Here is a 22,360-nt window from a genome sequence, read left to right as displayed (position 1 = left end):
TTCATTAACTTGTTACTTCTTCAGGTTAAATAAAAAATCATCCTGCCTTCCTATTCCTTTTGATTTTCTCTAATCTCAAGACTTTAAAACCTAGAATCTTATAGATAGCAGGGACCTTAAGAGGTCCTTTGGGCCTATGGTTTTCAGGTATTTAATTCTCCCAGACAAAAGGCATTTTTTTAAAATGAGGCAGAGATAGATTTGCCAATGTTTTATTTTGTCAAGTAAGAATATTTTTAAAAGAACTCACTATACTATACTATTCCTACCACTACCATAATTTCATATATGAGGGATACCTTAATAGCAGAAAAGAAAAAAAATAGTCTGTTTTAAGAAATGATGGCAAGCAATCGAACCCTGACACTCAGAGAGAGATAAACTAACACCAAAGTCTTTATCTCTCTCACTCTGTAGAAAACAGAGAAACCTTCCTAAGGTTTCTGTATCTCTGATACAGGTCTGTAGACCTGCAGTTTGGGAGCCATTAATCCTTGTACCTTCAGGAAGCAGCTCATGTAGATCACCCTTGGACAGATGAGAAGATTATTTTAAAGCTCTCCAAAAGAGACATTTAGACATCCTCCCTTGGAAGTGTCTAGCATGGTATAATTCCTACAGAGCTGACCTATATTTCTTAGACTATAGTATGTCAATTTTCTTTTCCCAGAGGGAAAGAGAAAGAGAGAGAGAGAGAGAGACTAATGACTCTTCTCTGCCCAAGAGACCCTCATATATTTAAATAATTAACTCATTTGTGTTGGACTTTACTGGAATGCAAGGAACATGGACAGGTTCATATTACCTCAGTAAATGGGAAATTATTGTAAAGACACACAAAAAAATAAGAAAGTACAAGAAATACCATCGGTAGCCTCACAAGCAGGACTCAAAACCTATAGCCTTGTTCAGGACACATTGCATTTCTAGAAGGTCTGCATCTGCTCTGTCAACTTAAAACCAGCTCAAGTTTTTCCAAGTCCACTGCTTCCCACAGTGGTGACTCAGCCATACTTAAGACTGACTTCATCTCTCCTCCTGCCATACTAACTACCCTCCTTCTCTCTCTCAGCTCTTCACATTCTATGTGGTCTGCTAACTTGCTGTGTATCTCATATTCAGGTTCCTCTTAGAGAAAATATTGTATTGTGTCAGCCATTTACTGTGCAGTCCAGAACACCCTTGTAAGGCAGAACTTTAGCATTAGGCTGCCGTGAAAGTTGCTGACCAGCCTACAGAGTCCTGCTTAATCCCTATTCTATTGAGTGTAGTGGTTATGAGAACAACTCTGGAGCCAGACTCCTTCCCCGGGTTCAAATAATTCCTTCTCTACTTACGAGCTGTGTGACGCTGGATAAATTAATCTCCAAATGCCACAGTTTCTCCATCTATAAAGTGAATATCATAAAGATTATGTTACTCATAGGTTTGTTATGATATAATGATTAAATGAGGTGAGTAACATAAAATGCTTGGCACATTGTAAGAATTCAACAAATGTCAGTTGCTGGTATTGCTTTTTTTCATTTTGTTGTGGCCAGGGTACTGTGATCACATAGTATAAAGCATGGAGTCTATGCAGGTATTTGTTGCCTTAGCTTCTCTAAGAAGGGTGTTGTGAGTATAACAGGCAAGCACTTTGTGCTACTTACTCTCCATTTGCCCTCCCTGCCCGCCCCACCCCTCCGCCCCCAACAAACACACACACACGCATAATCTCTTTTCTGTCCTTCTCTGTGCTCTGAGAGGCTGGCTTCCATGGACTGCATTCCCTGAACACCTTGCTCTTTAACTTCCCACTTGATTTGGTCAATGAGTGGCACCATCTAGAGACTGTAGAAAGAGAACAAACTCAGGGTATTTATCCCTCTCCCCGCTTTACTGCAGACTACATTAGACAATAGCAGCCCCTGTCTAGTAGCCCCTCCTCCAAATCCCCATGCTCTCTCTTGCCTTCTGTATCATCACTCCATCCTCTTCCCCCTACAAGCCCAGAAGGCTTACCAGTTATGCCAGTGCTTAGGTGGCTCTCCCTTCCTTGATAATTCTCTTAACTCTGCCCATGCCTTAATTCGAACTCTCTGCGGTGAACATTTACAAGTGCGACATCTCATTCCTGCTGAGACCCTCACTGAATCATACTCAAAGCCTCTAATTCTCTTCTCCATGATATTATCCTACAGCATTTCCTTCACTAGGCAGATAATCCAAAATTCCTCCAATTTTTCTCTATAGGTCCTTATTTTCCAATTCCTTTTAATTTATTATTTATTTATTTATTTTTATTATACTTTAAGTTGTAGGGTACATGTGCACAACGTCCAGGTTTGTTACATATGTATACATGCACCATGTTGGTGTGCTGCACCCATTAACTCGTCATATGCATTAGGTTTATCTCCTAATGCTATCCCTCCCCCCTCCCCCCACCCCACAACAGGCCCCGGTGTGTGATGTTCCCCTTCCTGTGTCCAAGTGTTCTCATTATTCAATTCCCACCTATGAGTGAGAACATGCAGTGTTCGGTTTTTTTGTCCTTGCGATAGTTTGCTGAGAATGACGGTTTCCAGCTTCATCCGTGTCCCTACAAAGGACATGAACTCATCCTTTTTTATGGCTGCATAGTATTCCATGGTGTATGTGTGCCACATTTTCTTAATCCAGTCTATCATTGTTGGACATTTGGGTTGGTTCCAAGTCTTTGCTATTGTGAATAGTGCCGCGATAAACATACGTGTGCATGTGTCTTTATAGCAGCATGATTTATAATCCTAATTTATTTATTTTTAAACTTTTATTTTAAGTTCAGGGGTATGTGTGTAGGCTTGTTATATAGGTAAATTCGTGTCACAGGGTTTGTTGTACAGATTGTTTTGGCACCCATTTACTAAGCCTAGTACCCAATAGTTATTTTTGCTGCTCCTTTCCCTCCTCCCAGCCTCCACCCTCAAATAGGCCCCAGTGTGTGTTGTTCCCCTCTTTGTGTCCATGAGTTATCATCATTTAGCTCCCACTTATAAGAGAGAACATGCGGTATTTGGTTTTCTGTTTCTGCGTTAGTTTGCTAAGGATAATAACCTCCAGCTCCATCCATGTTCCCGCAAAAGACACAATGTCATTCTTTTTTATGGCTGTACGGTATTCCATGGTATATAAGTACCACATCTTTTTTATCCAATCTGTCATCGATGGGCATTTAGGGTGATTCCACGTCTTTGCTATTGTGAATAGTGCTGCAATGAACATTTGTGTACATATGTCTTTATAGTAGAATGGTTTATATTCCTACCCAAAGAATGGGATTTCTGGGTCGAATGGAAATTTTGTTTTTAGGTCTTTGAAGAATTGACACACTGCTTTCCACAATGGCTGAACTAAATTTATGCTCCCACCAACAGTGTTTAATTGTTCCCTTTTCTCCACAACCTTGCCAGCATCTATTATTTTTTGACTTTTTTAAAATTTGCATTTCTCTGATGATGGGTGATATTGAGCTTTTTTAAATATGCTATTGGCCACATATATGTCTTCTTTTGAAAAGCATCTGTTCATGCCCTTTGCCTACTTTTTAATAGGGTTGCTAATTTTTTTCTTATTAATTTGTTTAAGTTCCTTATAGATGCTGGATATTAGACATTTGTCAGATGCATAGTTTGCAAATATTTTCTCCTATTCTTTAGGTTATCTGTTTACTCTCTTGATAGTTTCTTTTGCTGTGCATAAGCTCTTAAATTTTGTTAGATCCCATTTGTCAATTTTTGCTTTTGTTGTGATTGCTTTTGGTGTCTTCCTCATGAAATTTTTGCCTGTTGCTGTGTCCAAAATGGTATTACCTAGATTGTCTTCCAGGGTTTTTATAGTTTTGGGTTTTACATTTAAGTCTTTCATCCATCTTGAGTTGATTTGTGTATATGGTGTAAGTAAGGGGTCCAGTTTCAATCTCCTGTATGTGGCTAGCCAGTTACTGCAGCACTGTTTTTTGAATAGGGAGTCCTTTCCCCATTGCTTGTTTTTGTCAGCTTTGTTGAGGATCAGGTGGTTGTAGATGTGTGACCTTATTTCTGGCCTCTCTATTCTGTTCCATTCATCTGTGTGTCTGTTTTTATACCAGTACCATGCTGTTTTGGTTACTGTAACCCTGTAGTATAGTTTGAAGTTGAGTAATGTGATGCCTCCAGCTTTTTTTGTTGTTGTTTAGGATTGCCTTGGCTATTTAGGCTTTTTTGGGGGGTTCCATATGAATTTTAGAGGTTTTTTTTTTTCTAATTCTGGGAAGAATGTCATTGGTAGTTTGATAGAAATAGCATTGAATCTGTAAATTGCTTTCGGTGGTATGGCCATTTTTACGATATTGATGCTTCTTATCCATGAGCATGGAATGCTTTTCTGTTTGTTTATGTTATCTCAGATTTATCTGAGCAGTGGTTTTGTAATTCTCTTTGAGAGATTTTTCACCTCCCTGGTTAACTGTATTCCTAGGTATTTTATTCTTCTTGTGAATATTGTGAATGGAAGTGTGTTCCTGATTTGGCTTTCAGCTTGGCTGTTGGTGGTGTATAGGAATGCTAGTGATTTTTGTACATTGATTTTGTATCCTGAAACTTTGCTGAAGTTATCAGCTAAAGGAGCTTTGGGACCAAATCTATGGGGATTTCCAGATATAGAATCATGTTATTTGCCAACAGGATAGTTTGACTTCCTGTCTTCCTATTTGGATGCCTTTTATTTCTTTTTCTTGCTGTATTGCTCTGGCCAGGACTTCCAATACTATGTTGAATAGGACTGATGAGAGAGGGCATCCTTGTCTTGTGCCAGTTTTCAAGGGGAATGCTTCCAGGTTTTGCCCATTCAGTATGATGTTGGCTGTGGGGTTGTCATAGATGGCTCTTATTATTTTGAGCTATGTTCCTTCAATACCTAGTTTATTATAGAGAGTTTTTAACATGAATGGGTGTTGAATTTTATCAAAGCCATTTATGCATCTGTTGAGATCAAGTGGTTTTTTTCTTTAGTTCCATTTATGTGATGAATCACATTTATTAATTTGAGTATGTTGAACCAACTTTACATCCCAGGGATGAAGCATACTTGAACATAGTGGATTAGCTTTTTGAAGTGCTGCTGGATTCAGTTTGCAAATTTTTTTTTTAAGGATTTTTGCATCAATATTCATCAGGGATATTGGCCTGAAGTTTTCTTTTCTGTTGTGTCTCTGCCAGGTTTTGGCATCAGGATGATGCTGGCCTCATAGAATGAGTTGGGGAGGATTCCCTCCTCAATTTTTTGGAATAATTCTGGTGGGAATGGTACCAGCTGTTCTTTGTACATCTGCTAGAATTTCGCTGTGAATCCACCTGGTCCTGGGGTTTTTGTTTGTTTGTTGGTTGGTTGGTTGGTTGGTTGGTAGGCTATTTATTACTGATTCCGTTTCAGAGCTCATTATTGGTCTGTTCAGGGAACCAATTTCTTCCTGGTTCAATCTTGGGATGGTGTATATGTCCATGAATTTATTAATCTCTTCTAGGTGTTCATAGTATTTTCTGATGGTTATTTACATTTCTGTGGAGTCAGTGGTAGCATCCCCTTTGTTGTTTCTAGTTGTATTTATTTGGACCTTCTCTCTTTTTTTCTTTATTAGTCTAGCTAGTGGCCTATATATCTTACTAATTTTTCAAAAAACCAACACCTGAATTTTTTGATCTTTTAAATAGTTTTTCATATTTTCTAATTCTTTATGATCTTCCTTAGACCCCAGTTGGGTTTCGATGGGGGTTGTTTTTGTTTTTGTTTTTTGCTTTTTTTCTTAAATTGTGACACTTAGAAATTTTCTCAGTCCTCTCATGAAGAGCTGACCAGTACAGCATCTAGTAGTCATTTCTTGCTAGGGTTCACATAAATGCAGCTCAGCTGCATTTTTTTAATAACAGGCTTATTGAGGTATATTTCATAGACCATAAAGTTCACTCACTTAAAGTGTACAATTCATTGGCTTTTAGTATTTTCACAAGGTTGTACAACTACCACCAATATCTAATTCCAGAACATTTTCATCATCACTCCACAAAGTAACCCTGTACATATTAGCAGTCACTCCCCACTCCTCCCTCCCCCAAGTCCTAGAATCCACTCATCTCCATTTTGTCTATATGGATTTATCTATTGGCTTGTTTTTCATGGCATAATGTTTCCAAAAGATCCATTTTCTGACCATGGTAAAGCATCTGAACAGTTGGTAGAATGAAGCTGGAGAATCTACTACTCTGAAGATGGATTGTGAGCTCCATAAGAACACAGTAGATGATAAATAGTTCAGATGATAAATGAGTGGAAACACATAGGATCAAATATACAACCATTGAGCTGATACCTTAATATTTATGATTAAATCTAAATAAACAAAGAAGGAAATGTCTATTTGTACTCCTGGTGATATTTTGTAATCACTTAACTGATATGGGAGGAAATAGACTGAATTTTGCACCAGCAACAGTGCTGCATCTGACACTTTTCAGATTTGCTTCAAATTCAGAAATACTAGTATAGCTATTTGGTAGGCAGAATAATAGCCACCCCCACAAAGATGTCCATCCTTGGAAACCATGAATATGTTATGTTGCATGCCAAAAGAGAATTAAGGTTACAGATGAAATTGAGATTGTTAGCTTCTGATTTGAGATTGGAGATTATCCTGGTCTATCTGGGTAGGCTCAATTTGTCATAAGGGTCCTTATAAACAGAGAAGGGAGTGGAAGGGGAGGTCAGAGTTACATGAGGATATAACTATGGAAGAAAGGCACAGAGAGATGCAACATTGCTGGCTTTGAAGATGAGGGAAGAGAGCCACAAACTAAGGCGTGCAAGCACCTACTAGAAGCTGGAAAAGGCAAAGAAATGGATTTTCCCTTAGAGCCTCTGGAAAGGAACTCAGCCCTATGGACACTTGATTTTTGCTCAGTGAGACCCATTTGAGAATTCTGGCCTCCATAACTGTAAGATGAGAAATTTTTCTTGTTTAAAGCCTTTAAGTTTTTGGTAATTTGTTACAGCAGACATTGGAAACTAATATAAGACATGACCAGCATTCATGCAGTCCAGTTAGAGCAATGATTTTGGTTAAAACTGTGACTAGAAAGATCTCCCACTCTTTCTCCTCCCATGCCAGTTAAATATGAATCTCTGGCCCACTCACTTCTGGGTGATGGAGAAAGAAGGGTTCAGGTTTAAACAAGCTGAATTTAAAGTGATGGTGAATATCTAAATTAGTTTGATAGTTGTGGGACTCTTGTTTTCCATGTAGCTCGGCTGTAGGGAATTGGTATAATCTCTAAGGGCTAGAATATCACAAGAGAAGAATAGAGTGTTGAGAGACAATGAAAATGAGAAAAGAAGTGCTTGAGATCCTAGGATATACCACCATTTTTTTGTAAGGAAACAGACTTTGCAACTGAAGGGATAATACCAGAGTGAATAAATTACAAACAGGGGTTGTATGAACTCCTTCCTTGGAGAAGTATCAGTGGTAACTGATAAGATTGATTAATCCAAGTACAATATTGATCAAGTGGAAGAAGAGTAAAATCATCCCCAGGGTTCCAGTACAAAAGTCACAGTCACTAGTTCATCCGGCTTAAAGATTTTGTTGTCTGATACACAGACAAGCCTCCCCTGCTAAAAACTCCATGTGAGCGTTTTAAATAATTTGGACTTAGTGCTTTATTCTTTGACTCTAAATAAAGTACGATGTCTGGAAATCATTGTATTTTATTTAGTTTCTTTCCCAACTCTGCTGCTTGCAAAACAATGTAAAAAAAAAAATCATTACTGTTAAGTTCACAGGGCTGTTAAAATTCTAGAGATGGCTTATTTAATTTGACAAACTGGCTTGTTCAGGGGCTCTGATCTGCATCCATTATGTGAATTTTGTCAAAATAATTCCCGATGTCCGCCTGTGTCTGCATACATTATCAATATGTAATAATGCATTCTGCCTCGTCTTTATTTTAATTAAATTAAATTGCAGCAGTTTGGAGTCCTGGAAGTTCAGGAAATCAGCCATCCGCTGTTAGTAGCTCTGCTATAAACAATTCTATTTTTCTTCAAGGTTATTGGCAACAACAATTGCATAATTATTTAGTATAGTAGTTTGGCAACGAAGAATGGTGTTTCTGGGAAAACTAGACTTCCTAAAGGTTCACGACACATAGGAGTCTGTCTAAATTGTGTTAGAGAGAAACAGGGGAACATTAATAGTAATAGGTGCTAAGCTATGGTTGCTTTGTGCACACAAAACATTCCTGAGAACGATGCTTTAGCGTTCATAAATTTCCCTTCAGTAAAACCTAAGCAGGTTGGGCAGCCACAAAAATAGCATCCACTGAATATTTTAATAATAAATGAGTAGTGCTTTACAATTTGCAAACTACTTTCACATATATTATCTCATTTTAATCCTTATAACATTCCTGCCTGGTAGGCATGGCAGAATTAGCATGATCTTCATGTTGCAGAGGGGGAAACTGAGGGTCAGAAAGAAAAAGTAACTGGCCTAGAGTCCTGTACAGAGCAGGGATTCAAACTCAGGTCTCCCAGTCCTGAGTTGTGTATGCCTTTCAATGCTGCCTCTCCTCACTAAAGTAACCAACCCACCTTACTGAGTACCCAATTCAATGCCCCAGTGGTTTTCTATCAGAGAAGCTAGCAGAGATAATAATCTTTCATCATTTCTCTCCACTCATGAATTCATAATCGTTAACTGAAAGCAGGGCTGTTTTATCCATTCAACTTCATAGGCACAGTGCCAAGGATATGAGATTTTCACGGACCTACAAAATGTTTGCTACCTAAAAAACCAGTTTATTGTCACCAGAAGATGAAAAGGAAATCTGAAAATCAACGTTAATAAATGTTTAAATAAGTGTCTGAAAAATGGAGCACCATGTCAGCTTGTGAACTACAACTCAATTTTCATCCTTACATATGAAATATGTTTAATGTAGGATATGAGTTGTATACATTTTAATATGGGTTATAAGATATAGGATATCCAAAAGTAAGAGTTCCTACCAAGGTTTTCAAATGGCCTTCACTAATACTTTCATAAGCAAGTGGTCTTGTGCCCATTTCAAACTGCTGGTCACACCCATTAGTAGACTGTGAAATCTATTTGGTGAGTCAACCAGCGTTTTCGTTTTGAAAAATTGAATAGAATGTGATGGAATATAATAGAACCGAAGTGAACAGAATTAAATAGAACATACCAGAATGTGATGCTACAAAGACAGTATTGTCTCAGAAAAACTTCAAGTGTGTGTGTGTGTGTGTATCTCCCCATGTGGATGCTGGGTCACAATTAACGAGTTGTGTTTCTCATCATGACTTTCAGACATGAAAGTTTAAAAGCCATTGGTAAGATGATAAGCCCAGAAACAGAAAAATTAAATGACTTATCAAACCATGTGACTTATTTTCCAAATCAGCATTTATGACTGTTCTTGTCTTCTGGTCCCCTCTACCAACCCATATCAGAGGGGACTACGGAGGTATGCCTTCAACATTGAGTGACCACATAATTTATCATTCAAACCAGATACTTTTGAGAGTAAAAGGAGATACTGTTAATAATTACATCAAGAAAACAACATAACCAAGCACCATTTTTGGCCATTTGGGTTACATGGCACCTCTACTTCAAGGCTATCCCTAGCTTCCAGTCCTTGTCTCTTAAATTCTGAACAAATAAAAAGTTATTTATTTAGCACTACTGAATTGCGGGTCTTCCCCCTTAGTAGCTGTTATCTAGCATAGTAGATGAAAGCATTTGCCTATGAATTACTGGGTTTGAGCTCTGGCTTTGCCATTTACTAACCATGTGACCTTGGACTTAATAACTTCATTTCTTTGAGTCTCTATGATATCTATCAAACTGGAGTAAATATAGTTTCCTCATGAGTTTGAGTCTTCAAATTAGGTCATATGCACAAAAACATATCTAATTGTTATGTATTATACAAATGTAAGGCATATTATTTTGTGGTAATTATTAGGGAGATCATTGATAAAAATTCCAGAAAGTAGGCTGGGCATGGTGGCTCACGCCTGTAATCCCAGCACTCTGGGAGGCCAAGGCGGGTGGATGACCTAAGGCCAGGAGTTCAAGACCAGCCTTGCCAACATAGTGAAACACCGTCTCTACTAAAAATAAAAAAAAAATTAGCCAGGCGTGGTGGCACATGCCTGTAATCCCAACTACTCGGGAGGCTGAGGCAGGAGAATCACTTGAACCTGGGAGGTGGAGGCTACAATGAGCCGTGATCACACCACTGCACTCCAGCCTGGGCAACAAGAGTGAAACTCTGTCTAAAAAAAAAAAAAAAAAAAAAAAAATTCCAGAAAGTAGGTAATCCTTCAAGGTATGGCTTCTCTCACATGAAAAATTATCCTTCCCTGTATAATATTCAGTATATCTCCAGTGCTTCACAGATCACCTGCCTGGCACGTAGAGCAGCTTGGCGAAGGTTTGCTGTGTCATTAAATAACAGCACCTCACTTTCCATTACAATATTGAATCCCTTTTAGTCGGTCACATTGTTTCAAAGGATAGCCAGTCCATTTTCAAGGTGAGTCTGTTTCCAAAACCCCTGCCTCCCCTCAAAATATGCCTAAATACTGCTAGGGGATAGTAATCTTACAATTTTTTACTGGGTAGGGACAGGGAGGGTTGTTGTTCTTCACTTGTTTTTGATGCACTGGAGAGAAACTGACTCTCTAGCCACCCTGACCTTCTTTAAATCTCTCAATAGCTACCAAGTCTCAAGGCCTTCCACACATGCCACTCTCTCTGCCTAGAATGCCCTCCCCTATAAAGGTAAACCCTTTCTTGGTAAAGAGGCTTTTCCTTGCCTCCACAGTCCAACATAAATTTCCTGGTTACACTCTCTCATAATGCTCAGCATTCTCCCATCATAACCTTTATTACAATTTGTGTTTGTGTGTGTGTGTGTGTGTTTGTGTGTGTGTGTGTGTTATTTGTTTTACTTTTATATTTGTTCTTCCCACTTGAATATAACCTCCACTGGGGGGAGGGATGCTGTCTTGTTCAACCTCATATCCCCAGTGCCCCACAAACTGCCTGTCAACAAGAGGTACCCATGAAATATTGCATATTTGTTGAATGACCGAACAAAGAAATGAATACCAACAGAGGATCAGGGTGATCCCTTAGCCTTGCCTATATAATGGAATGGTGGGTCTGCCCAGAGAGAGGAGGGCAGTGCCCAGGTACACAAAGGCACTCACAAATGTTATACATGAGCCAGTATATCACTCTGCCTTTGATGGCAATATAGGTTATCCATGTTGGCTTTTATGCAGCTAGGCTTGGACAAAGCAGCCAGAAAAAAATCTCATAATATCAGGTTTTACTGTACGGAACCTCTTGGCAAAAGTGTTGCATAGCTGTCTCACTCCTGGATTCTTTTAATTTCCTACCTGTACTTTCTCTTCATTCAACTGCCTCACTCTAACACTATCATATTTAACCCTTATTTTTGTAAATAGATAGGGTAAAGATCTTAAGTCAGGGATTGCCAAATCAAATCCAGTGATTCACTGAAAGGATAATACATCATGTCCAGGTAAAGTTTATTTTAGGGCAAGAAAGATGGTTCAACGTTAGGAAATCTATTGCTATAATTCACTGTCTTAACAGATTAAAGGGGAAAACTATGTGAATTTGTCCGTAAGTGTCAAAAAGACACTTGATGAAAATTCAACACCTGATTCTGACACTCTTAGTAAGCTAGGAATAATAGATAAACAAAGTATTTCAGGCCACTGGGCAGTGTGTCAAATTGAGAAACCTCTGGGCTCATCCTATCCTACGATAAATCACTAGAGAATAGGGAAAGATAGAAGAATCTCTGAGAGCAGGTACTTGTTTTACATAGATAGTATTTTGTCTACATAGTATTGGTCTATTTTGCCATGGCCTTCATTTGGTTCTTTCGGTTTTTTGTCTTTTGTTGTTGTTTTTGTTTTTGCATTAATCTTGTATTTTAAAAGAATGGAAAATATTTATTGCTATATTCAATAATTCCTTTCGGAGAAGAAGATTTTCATCTTGTAATTAGGTACCTTTTAAATATCATGAAATTATTTTTAGATGTTCCCTGAGTTCATGAAGGTAACATGTAAATTTCTCACATTGACTATCAGACGACTTGTAATTATATATTGCCTTCATAAATGCAACCATTATAAATTCTGAGGCCTTAGCCTGAAGCTGTTGAAAGTCATCTGCTTAATCTTGTCATATTTCACACGTCAGCTTCATTGCATGGCACCTTTACCTTGGCTACTTAATGTCAATCTCCTATCCTAGCCCTTATAGATGAATGTCACAGTAACTAAACTAAGTTATCAGGGACGCCGTGACCCTCAGCCTTCTTGCCATCCCCATGTCATACAAATGCTGCTGCTCTGATAAGTAGAATGAACATTCAGTTATTTTTCCAATGTCAAATGGCTTTGGAGGAGCAAGCTACAATCTTTTACTCAGTCTTCTTTACAAGCCAGTGTAATATTTGCAAGATGACTAACAGTGAAGTCAGAGGTGCAATCCTGTGACCAGAGGATAGAATCCTCTGCAAAAGTAACACGACTATCTAGACAATTAGTGACTCTTGGTTAAGGAGCATTCCGTTAATATCTCTGTGTGGAGGTGAAGGAGAGAATACAGGAAGGCAGAAATCCAGATGAAATTAGAAGAGTCACAAGGGAGGTGATCACATGGCTCAGAGAAAGTATTATTCCATAATAATTACTCACTCTCAACTGCCTTCTCAATATATGCACACCAGCACGAACCCATTATGCTAACCCCTGGGAAGTGTAGTCCAGGACCCCTTATCCACTTATTCCTGCTCACTGCCAGTCTAGTCTACTTTCTACAGCTTCTCTGAGATGTTAATGAATTTTTTTTTCCTTTCTATTACACTATTCTCCCTAGTCCCTACTCCAGAGTGCTAGAGACTGAATCCGTGCCCTGTACCATGCTATGTTGATGATCAGACGTGATAGACAACAGGCCGCCTGGGAAATGGTAGTGGTCCACTGTGCTTATTTAGCTGAGGCTCAGCTGTCATAGTGTCAGGCAGAGCATGGTGTCAAGACAGGGTTTTCAGTGCCAGCTGCAGTGTAACCTTTTTTCCCTATATTTAATTATGTGAAAAAAGTAGGCATTTAGTGCATTATAGTCTGCTTCCATGACAAAGTCTAGGATTAGTTGCTACTGTATTTGCTAGTTCTTGTGAGCTTGGAGAGAAGCTCAACTCCATGGGGTGAAACATTTGCCTTCTCATAAGCTGATTGCAAGTTCCAGGATTATGTTAAAGTGGGCTGCTGTGAGAAAGAAACTTTGCCTTGTTACCCTGAGCAAGGAGCCACATACGAAAATACCCCGACACACAGCTATCCTCATTAAAGTCAGCTGGAAATTTTGGACAAGTCTTAAATATAAATTATAACTTCATTAGCTCATAGAGCTTTCTTGGGAGAAAGTAAATCTAATAAAAATTAGAGGGAACTTAGTAAGTGGTTGCCTTGTTGCTATTTGCTGTGGCTGGGGAAAAAAAGTAATATAATTGTGGGGTTTGCAGCCAATGCACTTTTTTGTTGTGAACTGGAGAGCAATTCAGAGAGCAGATAGGAGGAGGTGAAAAGAGTATGTATGTCTCATTACCACTGCATTGAGAACTCCTTAATTGATGCTTTATGTAAGCATTTCCTGCTGCAGAGTTGGGAGGATCTTTAACTGTTACTGAGAGAGAAAAAGCAGGCTCCAAACCACCATCACAGGTCACCAGGGCACACTACTTATTTGCAAAACTGCGCAATCACCTTCCGGAGAAGGGATTCTTAGGAGAGCTCACCAGACTTACAATGTACAGAAGGCAAATCCAGTAATTGCCAGGAGTACTGTGGGGAAGGAGATGATGGCTTTAAGGGAACTTGTAATTATTGTCGTTGTGATTATTTATTAATCAAGACTTTTAAATGTTGGCAGGAGAAGCAGAAACTGTGTTATCCTACACACCAACATGGCCCTCAGTGTGCTCTCTAACCACCTGATTTTTCCAGCATAAGATTCAGTGTTCTATTTGGCTTTTGGGTTTGATCCTCAACCAGAAGTTACCAAATGTAATCTAGAAAGAATGCAATTTAGAGTGTTAGTGCTAAAGAAGGATTAAAAGGATTGTCTACTACAGTTGTCTTTGATCTGAGATCTTTATTTGGACTTCAGAAAGTCAGTGAACTCCCTAGAGTTATATAGAAAATTTTGTACGCATATGCATTTTTCCAGGAAGAATGTCCATAACTTTAATTAGACTCACAACAAAGTGCTCCCTGACCCAAAAGCGTCTAAGAACCACCAGTTCTAGTCACTCCCTCCCACTACGCTACCAGTGAAAAGCCCAACTCCAGAAATGGAGAATAACTTGCCTGAGCCCACACAGCTAGTTAATGATAGATCTGAGAGTTGAAGTCTTTTCTAACTCTTGGTCCAAAACCAACTCTTTGCACTTTACCAGAGTTGTTTTAGCAAGTAGAGGGGCTGTAGGAGATACCAGGGAGACTGTAGACAGTATTGATTTGTACCATAAGTGTAACGAACTAGATTACCTTTGAGATCCCTTTCCCCTCTGAGAGTCTATTTCCACTGTTAATAGAGAACAGCATTGACAGAGACGATTAGTTTCCTCCCCCGCCCCCAGTCCGTTGGCCTCTGTTGCTAATAACGCTTGGTTGAGGATTATATTAAAATGAGTCTGCATTTCATGAGTCTTTACCAGCTGATGGCTGATAGAAGGGCATCCCCGCCAGGAATGGCTACATAATTTGCAGGGCCCAGTGAAATGAAAACGGAAATACAGAGCCTCTTGTTTAAAAAGTATTACAAACTTCAAGACAGTGACTGCAGAGCATTAAATCAAGTGTGGGGCCCTCCTAAGCATGGGTCGTATCCATGAAGATGGCCCTGATCCCTGTTATAAGCTTTGGTAGAGTGGAGGACAAAGAGAAGCCAGCCTGCAATTTAAAATTGGCCACAAATGATCCACAAAGTCAGAGAGTTGGATATTTGTGATTACAGGGACTTTTTGGCTTCTCTGTGAATGTGCTCACATACACATGCACATGCACATGCACACACAAATCAGTTTGACTAAAATTACCATCTTTTCCCTTCACCTAATGCCAAAAACCAAAACCAGTTGGCTTTATTTTTTCACTTTCGGACCTATTGTTCTGGCATTGTTTAAGCACGCATTTTCACTTCCAGTTTTCATAACCAAATGACAAAGGAAGGACTGAGCTCTTCAGGGGCATCTAAAGAGTCAGGCAGAGGCAGGTACTCGAAAGCTATGGCAGACCACAGACCAACAGGGGCTATTTTAAGCTGCCAGAAAGAGGGAAAGCCGCTTCAGGATATGCAGTATAATGAGCCAGTGTTCTCAGGCTTAGAACATTATGAGGATAGAAAGCATTGTAAATTTAAGAATCAGAAATCTGGGGTTCCAACAGGTGAGCAGGTTTCCAAGAGGGAAAATGGCTAGGACTTGGTATACTTAAGCTATACATAGTTCAGTAGAGCAAAGACTCTCAAGCTACCACATTCTGCATTTCACATTTCAGTGGCATACCGAGGTTCCACGTTTAATGTACAACATCTGTGCTGCATAGCAGTTGAGGACAAATGTTGGGTGATGTCCCATTGGTTAGTTATATGCAGAAACCAAAACATAACGTGCACAAAGTGGAATTTACACTTGCAACACTCTAAGCAAACTTAGTCTCAGCAAACCAAAAGCCAGTTAGCACAGGAAAACATAAATTGGGCAAATCCATTTGTATTAGTTGCATATGTAGTTGGTTGCTGTATAAGTGACCTAGTACTCCAAAGGCAGCTTGCTGAGTGCATTTTTCACTATAGTGGTAAAAAACCAGCCCTACCTGCACTTCTCCTACAAAGGCAGAGAGAAATACTACCACAGCTTAATCCTGCAGAAAGCATCTCTCTTCAGTTTTACAGCACAGCCTCCAACCCAAAAGCCCAAAATAAAGCCTAATGTCCATAAACATATGGTACCAACCTAATAAGAGCATTTATTTACTCACTCCTTCATATATTTATCCGATATGCCCTGATCACTTTTGAGTGACCAATGCTATGCTAGATGCAATGTTGTACTGTGCTAGGTGAAAGAAATTTGCAGTCAAATTTCAACTCTAATCAGAATTCAGTAGCCAAAGTGATATCCACAGAATTATCAACTAGTATAAACATGAAGCAAATATTTTACAGTTTTCTAATGTGCTGTTAACTCTTTGTTTGCAGTATCTGTGGGATATGAATATGAAACGTGCCCTGACTTTATTCTCTGGGAGCAAAGGACAGTCGTTTTACAAGGTTTTGAGATGGATGCTTCTAACCTAGGAGGCTGGTCTTTGAATAAGCATCACATTTTGAATCCTCAAAGTGGTAAGTAGCTTTTTAAATTTGTATGAATACTACTTTCCTAATGCTGTATAATACATATTTATTGCAGAAAATTTGGAAAGTACAAGATAAAAATTACTTGTGAGAATACTACTTAGAGATGACCGCATTAAACATAATAATTCTATTTTGAATTACTCTTAGTGTGGTAAGAATCGGAACACTCTCATCTTAATCTATCCCTTCTTTGGACCACTCTCCCTGCTGTTCTCCTTGTTTGCGATTTAAATGTTAAACAAATCAGGAGAAGGGGGCAGAGGTGGCCCCTGAGTTTGTGCTTTTCCCAGACAAACTGAGTTTGCTACCCTGGTTATAACTCCTTCATCCAAGTTCCTTCACCTACTCTTGCATCTTAGTGGGAAACCCGTCACTGGTGTTTTCATACAGCTTTCCTCTGAGCGTCTACTGTGAAATCATATCCCTTTTCATCTAAAGAGACAGATTCTGAACAAGCTATAGTAGGACATGTACATTGGGTTATTTTTCCAGAATTGGGGATCAGAATGTACTGAAGCCCCTACACACTTCCATCCAGCCATCCTTGTATCCATCCTAACTTTGTGGAACAGGTGGTTAAGGCGAGGCGATCTTATAAGGCCATGAACTGACCAAACTAAGGGATCCATTTTATAATCACACCTATGATATCACTTCATCTGTACTATAGCCAAATCAGCTATGTCAACCAGCCCCACAGGCTGAGAAACTTTGAATGGCAAAGCTAACCAGATTTACTTCAACCATAGAAAGAGACCGCCTACTATAGTCCCAGTGTGGGACTCTGAAGGTGAATGAGTCTATTGCTGTATGCCCCCATTATAACTCTTTCTCCTCCTTCAAGGAAGATTCTGAATTCCATATCAAACAGTTTATTTTTTTTTAAGAGCAAAGATTCAGGCTGAGATATAAAAGGTCAACTTTTTTCTGTTGTCAAAAGGAAAGCCACAGTTTTAAAAGTACAAAAATGAAAGGGCAGATGCCACTTATTAAATTATTAGGTTTTCTGTTTTGATTTGAAAGAGTTTGACATTTTAAGCAGCCGTTTCTTTTCCACTCACTTATATTGGCTTGTATGGATTGTCTCTTTCAAATGCCTGTCATTGACATTAAACACAAAGTGGGAAATGACCTCAATCGAGCCAGCCCCCAGCTGTGTGCTCCCAGTCTTGTATCCTCTTACCATTTGCTTCACACAGACTTGAAACATTCAGAACAGAAGGGAGTCATTCAGAAAGTTGGCTTTGGGGGGGGCCCCCTGATTTTCACAAATGTGTTATCTCCAATTCACCAGTAATTAGTTTTTAGGTAATAGGCATCAAATTATTTCTGAGAATTTTTAACAGCTTTATTGAAGTATAATTTATACATCATAAAATTTACCCATTATAAATGTACACTTCAGTGATTTTTAGTAAATTTGTAGTTGTGCAACCATCACCAAAACCCAGTTTTAGAATATTTTTATCACCCCCAAAAGATTTTGTGTGCTCATTCACAGCCCCACTAAATCTGCTTGTGTTTCTACCTTTCTGAGAAATTTATTCTGAGAAAGAAGCCTTCCTTTGGATAGTCTTTTAAAAAGGAACATTTGTTCATTTTATCATCTCATTTGTAGATGTGTATTTCCAACCAAGAACTCATCACACTTGCCGGGAAACAGATCTGAAGCCAGCTCTGCTGCTGCCTTTCAGCCTGACCTTGGACACGAAAACCTCTCTTGGGATGTTTTCGAAGTCTAAATCCCACCCACAAAGGCAGTTTTAGAGGCAGGAATGATAAGTGTGATGGAGCAGCTTTGGGAAGACCAATTTAGAAAGCAATGCTCTTTCCCCCTCGGGTCAGACAGTCTTTTCTGACTGATTAAGCTGATTAAGGCAAGAGCAACATCTCTCCAAATTCCCCCACTCTGCTTCTCTCTGGAAAAAAACGTAACTCTTTAGGCATCCTGCTTTTTTGATCAGAGACAGATAGCAGATTAAAAACAAGAATCTATCTTCCCCCAGTTTCCTCTCACTGGTTAAAAAGACACCTGTAATTAGACTGGATGTCTGTTGCCATTCTATTCTTCAGTTTTCTTTGGCTCCAAAATCATTATGCAATGGGTAGTTTCTAGCAGGCAGTGTTTTCAGACCATTTGTCATTTCCATTGCTGCAATTATATTTACCTGACAGTTAACCATTGGTTGTGGAGAATTGTTTCCCAATATTAGGCCTGATATATAAAGATGGTTCTGATTTTCACTGAGATAAAAACATCAGAAACTTGTGGTTTTCAACATTATTCCTTTTAAGTTCATCTTCTTAGTGATTATAAAGAGGGTATATTCATTCATTTTAAGAAAACTCAGTTCTTTAAAATTATAAGAAAGTTGTGCATATCTGTTACAGAACTAAGCTATTTGTTTGGTGTATCTTTTACCAAACATATCCCCTAGGGTTTCCTGGCAGTCGAGTGTTTAAAATTATTAAAAAGAACAATCTAGGGCACTAAGTGGGTATTGTCATCTGTCTCAAAATTGGTAAAGAATTTCTTTTAACTTATCCTCCAAAATAGGCCAGTAGTTTGCCGACAAATGGTTTTACTGGGAGGAGAAGTAAATGTCCATTGATCACACTGGCATACCTCCCAGTTTGTGTTTATATCCTCTCAGTCAAGTACTAAGAGAAATATGTGTTGTGTCTCTTTGTTGTTCATAAATCTGAAAAATGGTTTCTTCCTTGAAATCAGCATAAAGCACCACCCACTGGCTTTCAAGGAGATTTTTTATTTCAGACATATTTATAAGCATCAAAAGAAGTTCTGAACAAAGTAGCAAGAGGGTATGACTGGTATGTTTAAAAGTGTGCTTACCTTATTATACAATGGGCTTGGCTTTTTGGCAAAGAAAAGGAAAACTTTGAAGAGAAAATGTGCAGTAAGCCCCATTCAGTGGGGTTTCGTTAACTGTAAACAAGATACCCAATCCTTAGCAGGAAGTTGGCCTTCACATAAATAATGTGTGTTGTCCTAGGATCATTGGATTCCCTTTTCAAAATGAGCATGTGTGGCAGAAGAAACTGGAAAGGAGGCAGCAGTAATTGATCAAGATTTCTAGGAACATAAACAAAATATTTTCAAAGCAACATTTTGCAAAAGAATTGGTGTTAAATCATGGTTGCTAGATGGTATGCCCTGGTTCTGTGTAATGGAAGGTTAAACAGATTCTTGAAACAACAAAAACACCCTTCAAAATGATCTATTTTTCCAGGGCAATACAAAAGGGGTTTGCCCATTTTTGTTTTGATTGCTTCAGCTTTAAACAGAAATGGTCATTTCAGTACACGGGCACTTTAGTACCTTGCATGAAAGCCAGACATCAATTGTTGAGATGTAATCAGAAAGTACATTGCCTTATGTTTTATTTCCTTTAATCATTCTTCTTCTTTGATGGAGTGTTGGGCTTTCTAATAGAAAAGGGGAGTTTTAGAATTGCAGGCTTAGAAGAATGGTTTAGAATAGCCATCTTTAGTTCTAAAATTGCCAGGAGGCTGGTAATAACATGTCATTTTGAGGGTAATTGTTAACTATACCATTATATTGATATAAAAAAATGGAGATCTACCTGTGAAAATAGATGTTAATAGCAAATCTGGTATTTCCAAGCCAATAATTGGAAAGATTTTTGAATGATATACACTATAGTGCATTGCTGAAATACTGACATGCTAAACAGTGGTTTCCTCATTTATTAAAGAACATATCATAGTCTCATTTGTAGAATATTCTGTTAGCAATCATCGGGAGATTTCTCTTCAATGATGTTGTGCAACTGTCATTCCAGTTCTCATTCACCTCCTCCTAATTTATTTGAATTACAATATTGACCACACTGCAATTAAATGTTTTTTGAGAAAAGAAATTCAGTCCTATTCATCTTACTTAATTAACTATTCTAAATCTTAAGAAAGGTCCCTACTACCTAATAAAGTTATTAATAAAATAATAAGAAAGTAGTGATCCTCAAGATATCTCATAGTTCTGCAATAAAAGACCAATTTGTTAGGGCATAAACTCACAGCTGCTCCTGCAAATCATGTGTTGCAAAAGTAGCCAGAAATCACCCTGGAAGGAAAAGTAAAAATGCTTAAATTTGAAATCCAATACTATATGATGGATGGGATTTCTGTTTGCTGGAAGGCCCTTTCCAACCATATATTCCACCATGGTATTATAGCATGTTTTACCCTCTTGTTTATTTTTGCCAGCAATGTTCCTACCTCAGAGTGATCAATAGTTTCTGTGGTAGGACTGTGGTACCCAAAGTTGGAAGAAAACTAAAGAGACATTTCAGGAAATGTTTAGGGAGAATAACAGGCAATGCAAGGAGATAGACAGCAGGGGGAAAGGGAGAAAAAAATAAGGCTTAACTGTATAACTGCATTCATTCATTTGCTATTAGTGACTTCAGTCTGACACATGGGCATGCCTTCCCACAACATGGATGTTTCACCTGCCCTGGCTCACTCTGGGCTGACTTGAGCTATTTAGCACAGCAGTACTTGTTCCTCGGATTTTCTGCCCAGGCTCAGCAGGTTTGCAAAATCATTGGAATTTAGACAAGGAAACTACGAGAAACTCAAAGCCTATTTTCAACATTTACCGAGCACTTATAATGATTTGGCCACAGGGATTGGCACTAAAATGCAGAAAGGAGTAAGACAGAGGATCTGCCTTCAAGGAGCTCATTCATGTTCTAATGGGAAAGACAGAGAAGTAATAAAAACTGTATCACACATGTGGTAAATGTTATAACAGAGCTATGGAAAACAAACTATGGGCACACAGAGGAGGGAGTAACTGACTCTGCCTGGATGGAGCATTGAGGAAAACTGGAGCTGAGCTTTAAAGGATGAATAGAACCTCCCCAAGCAGACAAGATGAGGAAGGCATTCAAGATAAAGACAATAGCATGGACAAAAACATAGAGGAATGGAAGTAGGTGAAAGTAACCATAAGTAGTTTGTTCTGGCTAGATCTCAGGATATAGATGAAAGCATGATGAGAGGGGAGACTGAAGAAGTAGTCAAGGGCCAAATCATGAAGGACTTTTTGTGCCTTAACAGTAAGGAATGTGCCCTTTATCCTAAAGGGATATGGAGCTATTGAAAGGTATTAAACCACAGACTGAAATAATCTCTATGGCAGGAGTGGGGACGAAGATCTGGAAATGGATATGCATGGAGACCAGGAGACCAAGAAGTTAAGAAAAACTAAACTAATGTAGGAATAGGGGAGAAAGAACTGGTTTCAACACATTTTAAGGGATAGACTCAATGGGAGTTAATGATTAATCAGGTTTCAAGAATGGGGGGAAAGAAGAGCCATGGTGATGTCCAGATTTCCAATTTAGGTAATTGTATGCATGGTACAACCACTCACAAGATGATTAGGGAACACAAGAGGAAGAGCAGGGTTTGGGAGTGGTTGCAGAAAAATAATGAGTTCAGTTTTTGTATGTTCCAGTCTGAAGTAATTGCGGGGGATCCAAGTAAAGAGGTCTAGAAGGAAATGGCATGTCAGTTAAGAACTCTGGATGGGAGAAAGTTTCAGCATATAGAAATGGGAGTTAAAGCCGTGGGTATGGATGAGATTGCCCACACAGAATGTCTGCAAAGCATTTTCATAAGTCAGTATCTCTATTTCCTGCACTGATGATAGTGCGATATGGTCCAAAAGAGTGGAAAATTCAAGTTTCTTTCATATTTCTTTGAAGTGCATTCTAGCAGTAGGATTTCTTTTCTTTTCACAGAAGTAGATTACCTTCC

General features: G+C 38.7%; 1 protein-coding gene across 14 annotated transcripts in view; it reads left to right on the top strand.

Annotated features, from left to right (window-relative positions):
- TENM1 (teneurin transmembrane protein 1) overlaps positions 1 to 22,360 on the top strand; it is an 828,410-nt gene that overhangs the window by 684,216 nt on the left and 121,834 nt on the right. For all 14 annotated transcript variants that reach the window (XM_017029210.3, XM_017029211.3, XM_047441760.1 and 11 more), the window contains one exon: positions 16,394 to 16,537. In XM_017029210.3, coding sequence (XP_016884699.1) covers positions 16,394 to 16,537 — 144 coding nt within the window. The remainder of the gene's footprint in view (positions 1 to 16,393; positions 16,538 to 22,360) is intronic.

The sequence above is a fragment of the Homo sapiens genome, chromosome X (assembly GCF_000001405.40).
Source record: "Homo sapiens chromosome X, GRCh38.p14 Primary Assembly".
NCBI classification, from domain to species: domain Eukaryota; kingdom Metazoa; phylum Chordata; class Mammalia; order Primates; family Hominidae; genus Homo; species Homo sapiens.
The sequence above is the reverse complement of the archived record's forward strand: the minus strand, read 5'-3'. Positions and strand labels throughout refer to the sequence as shown.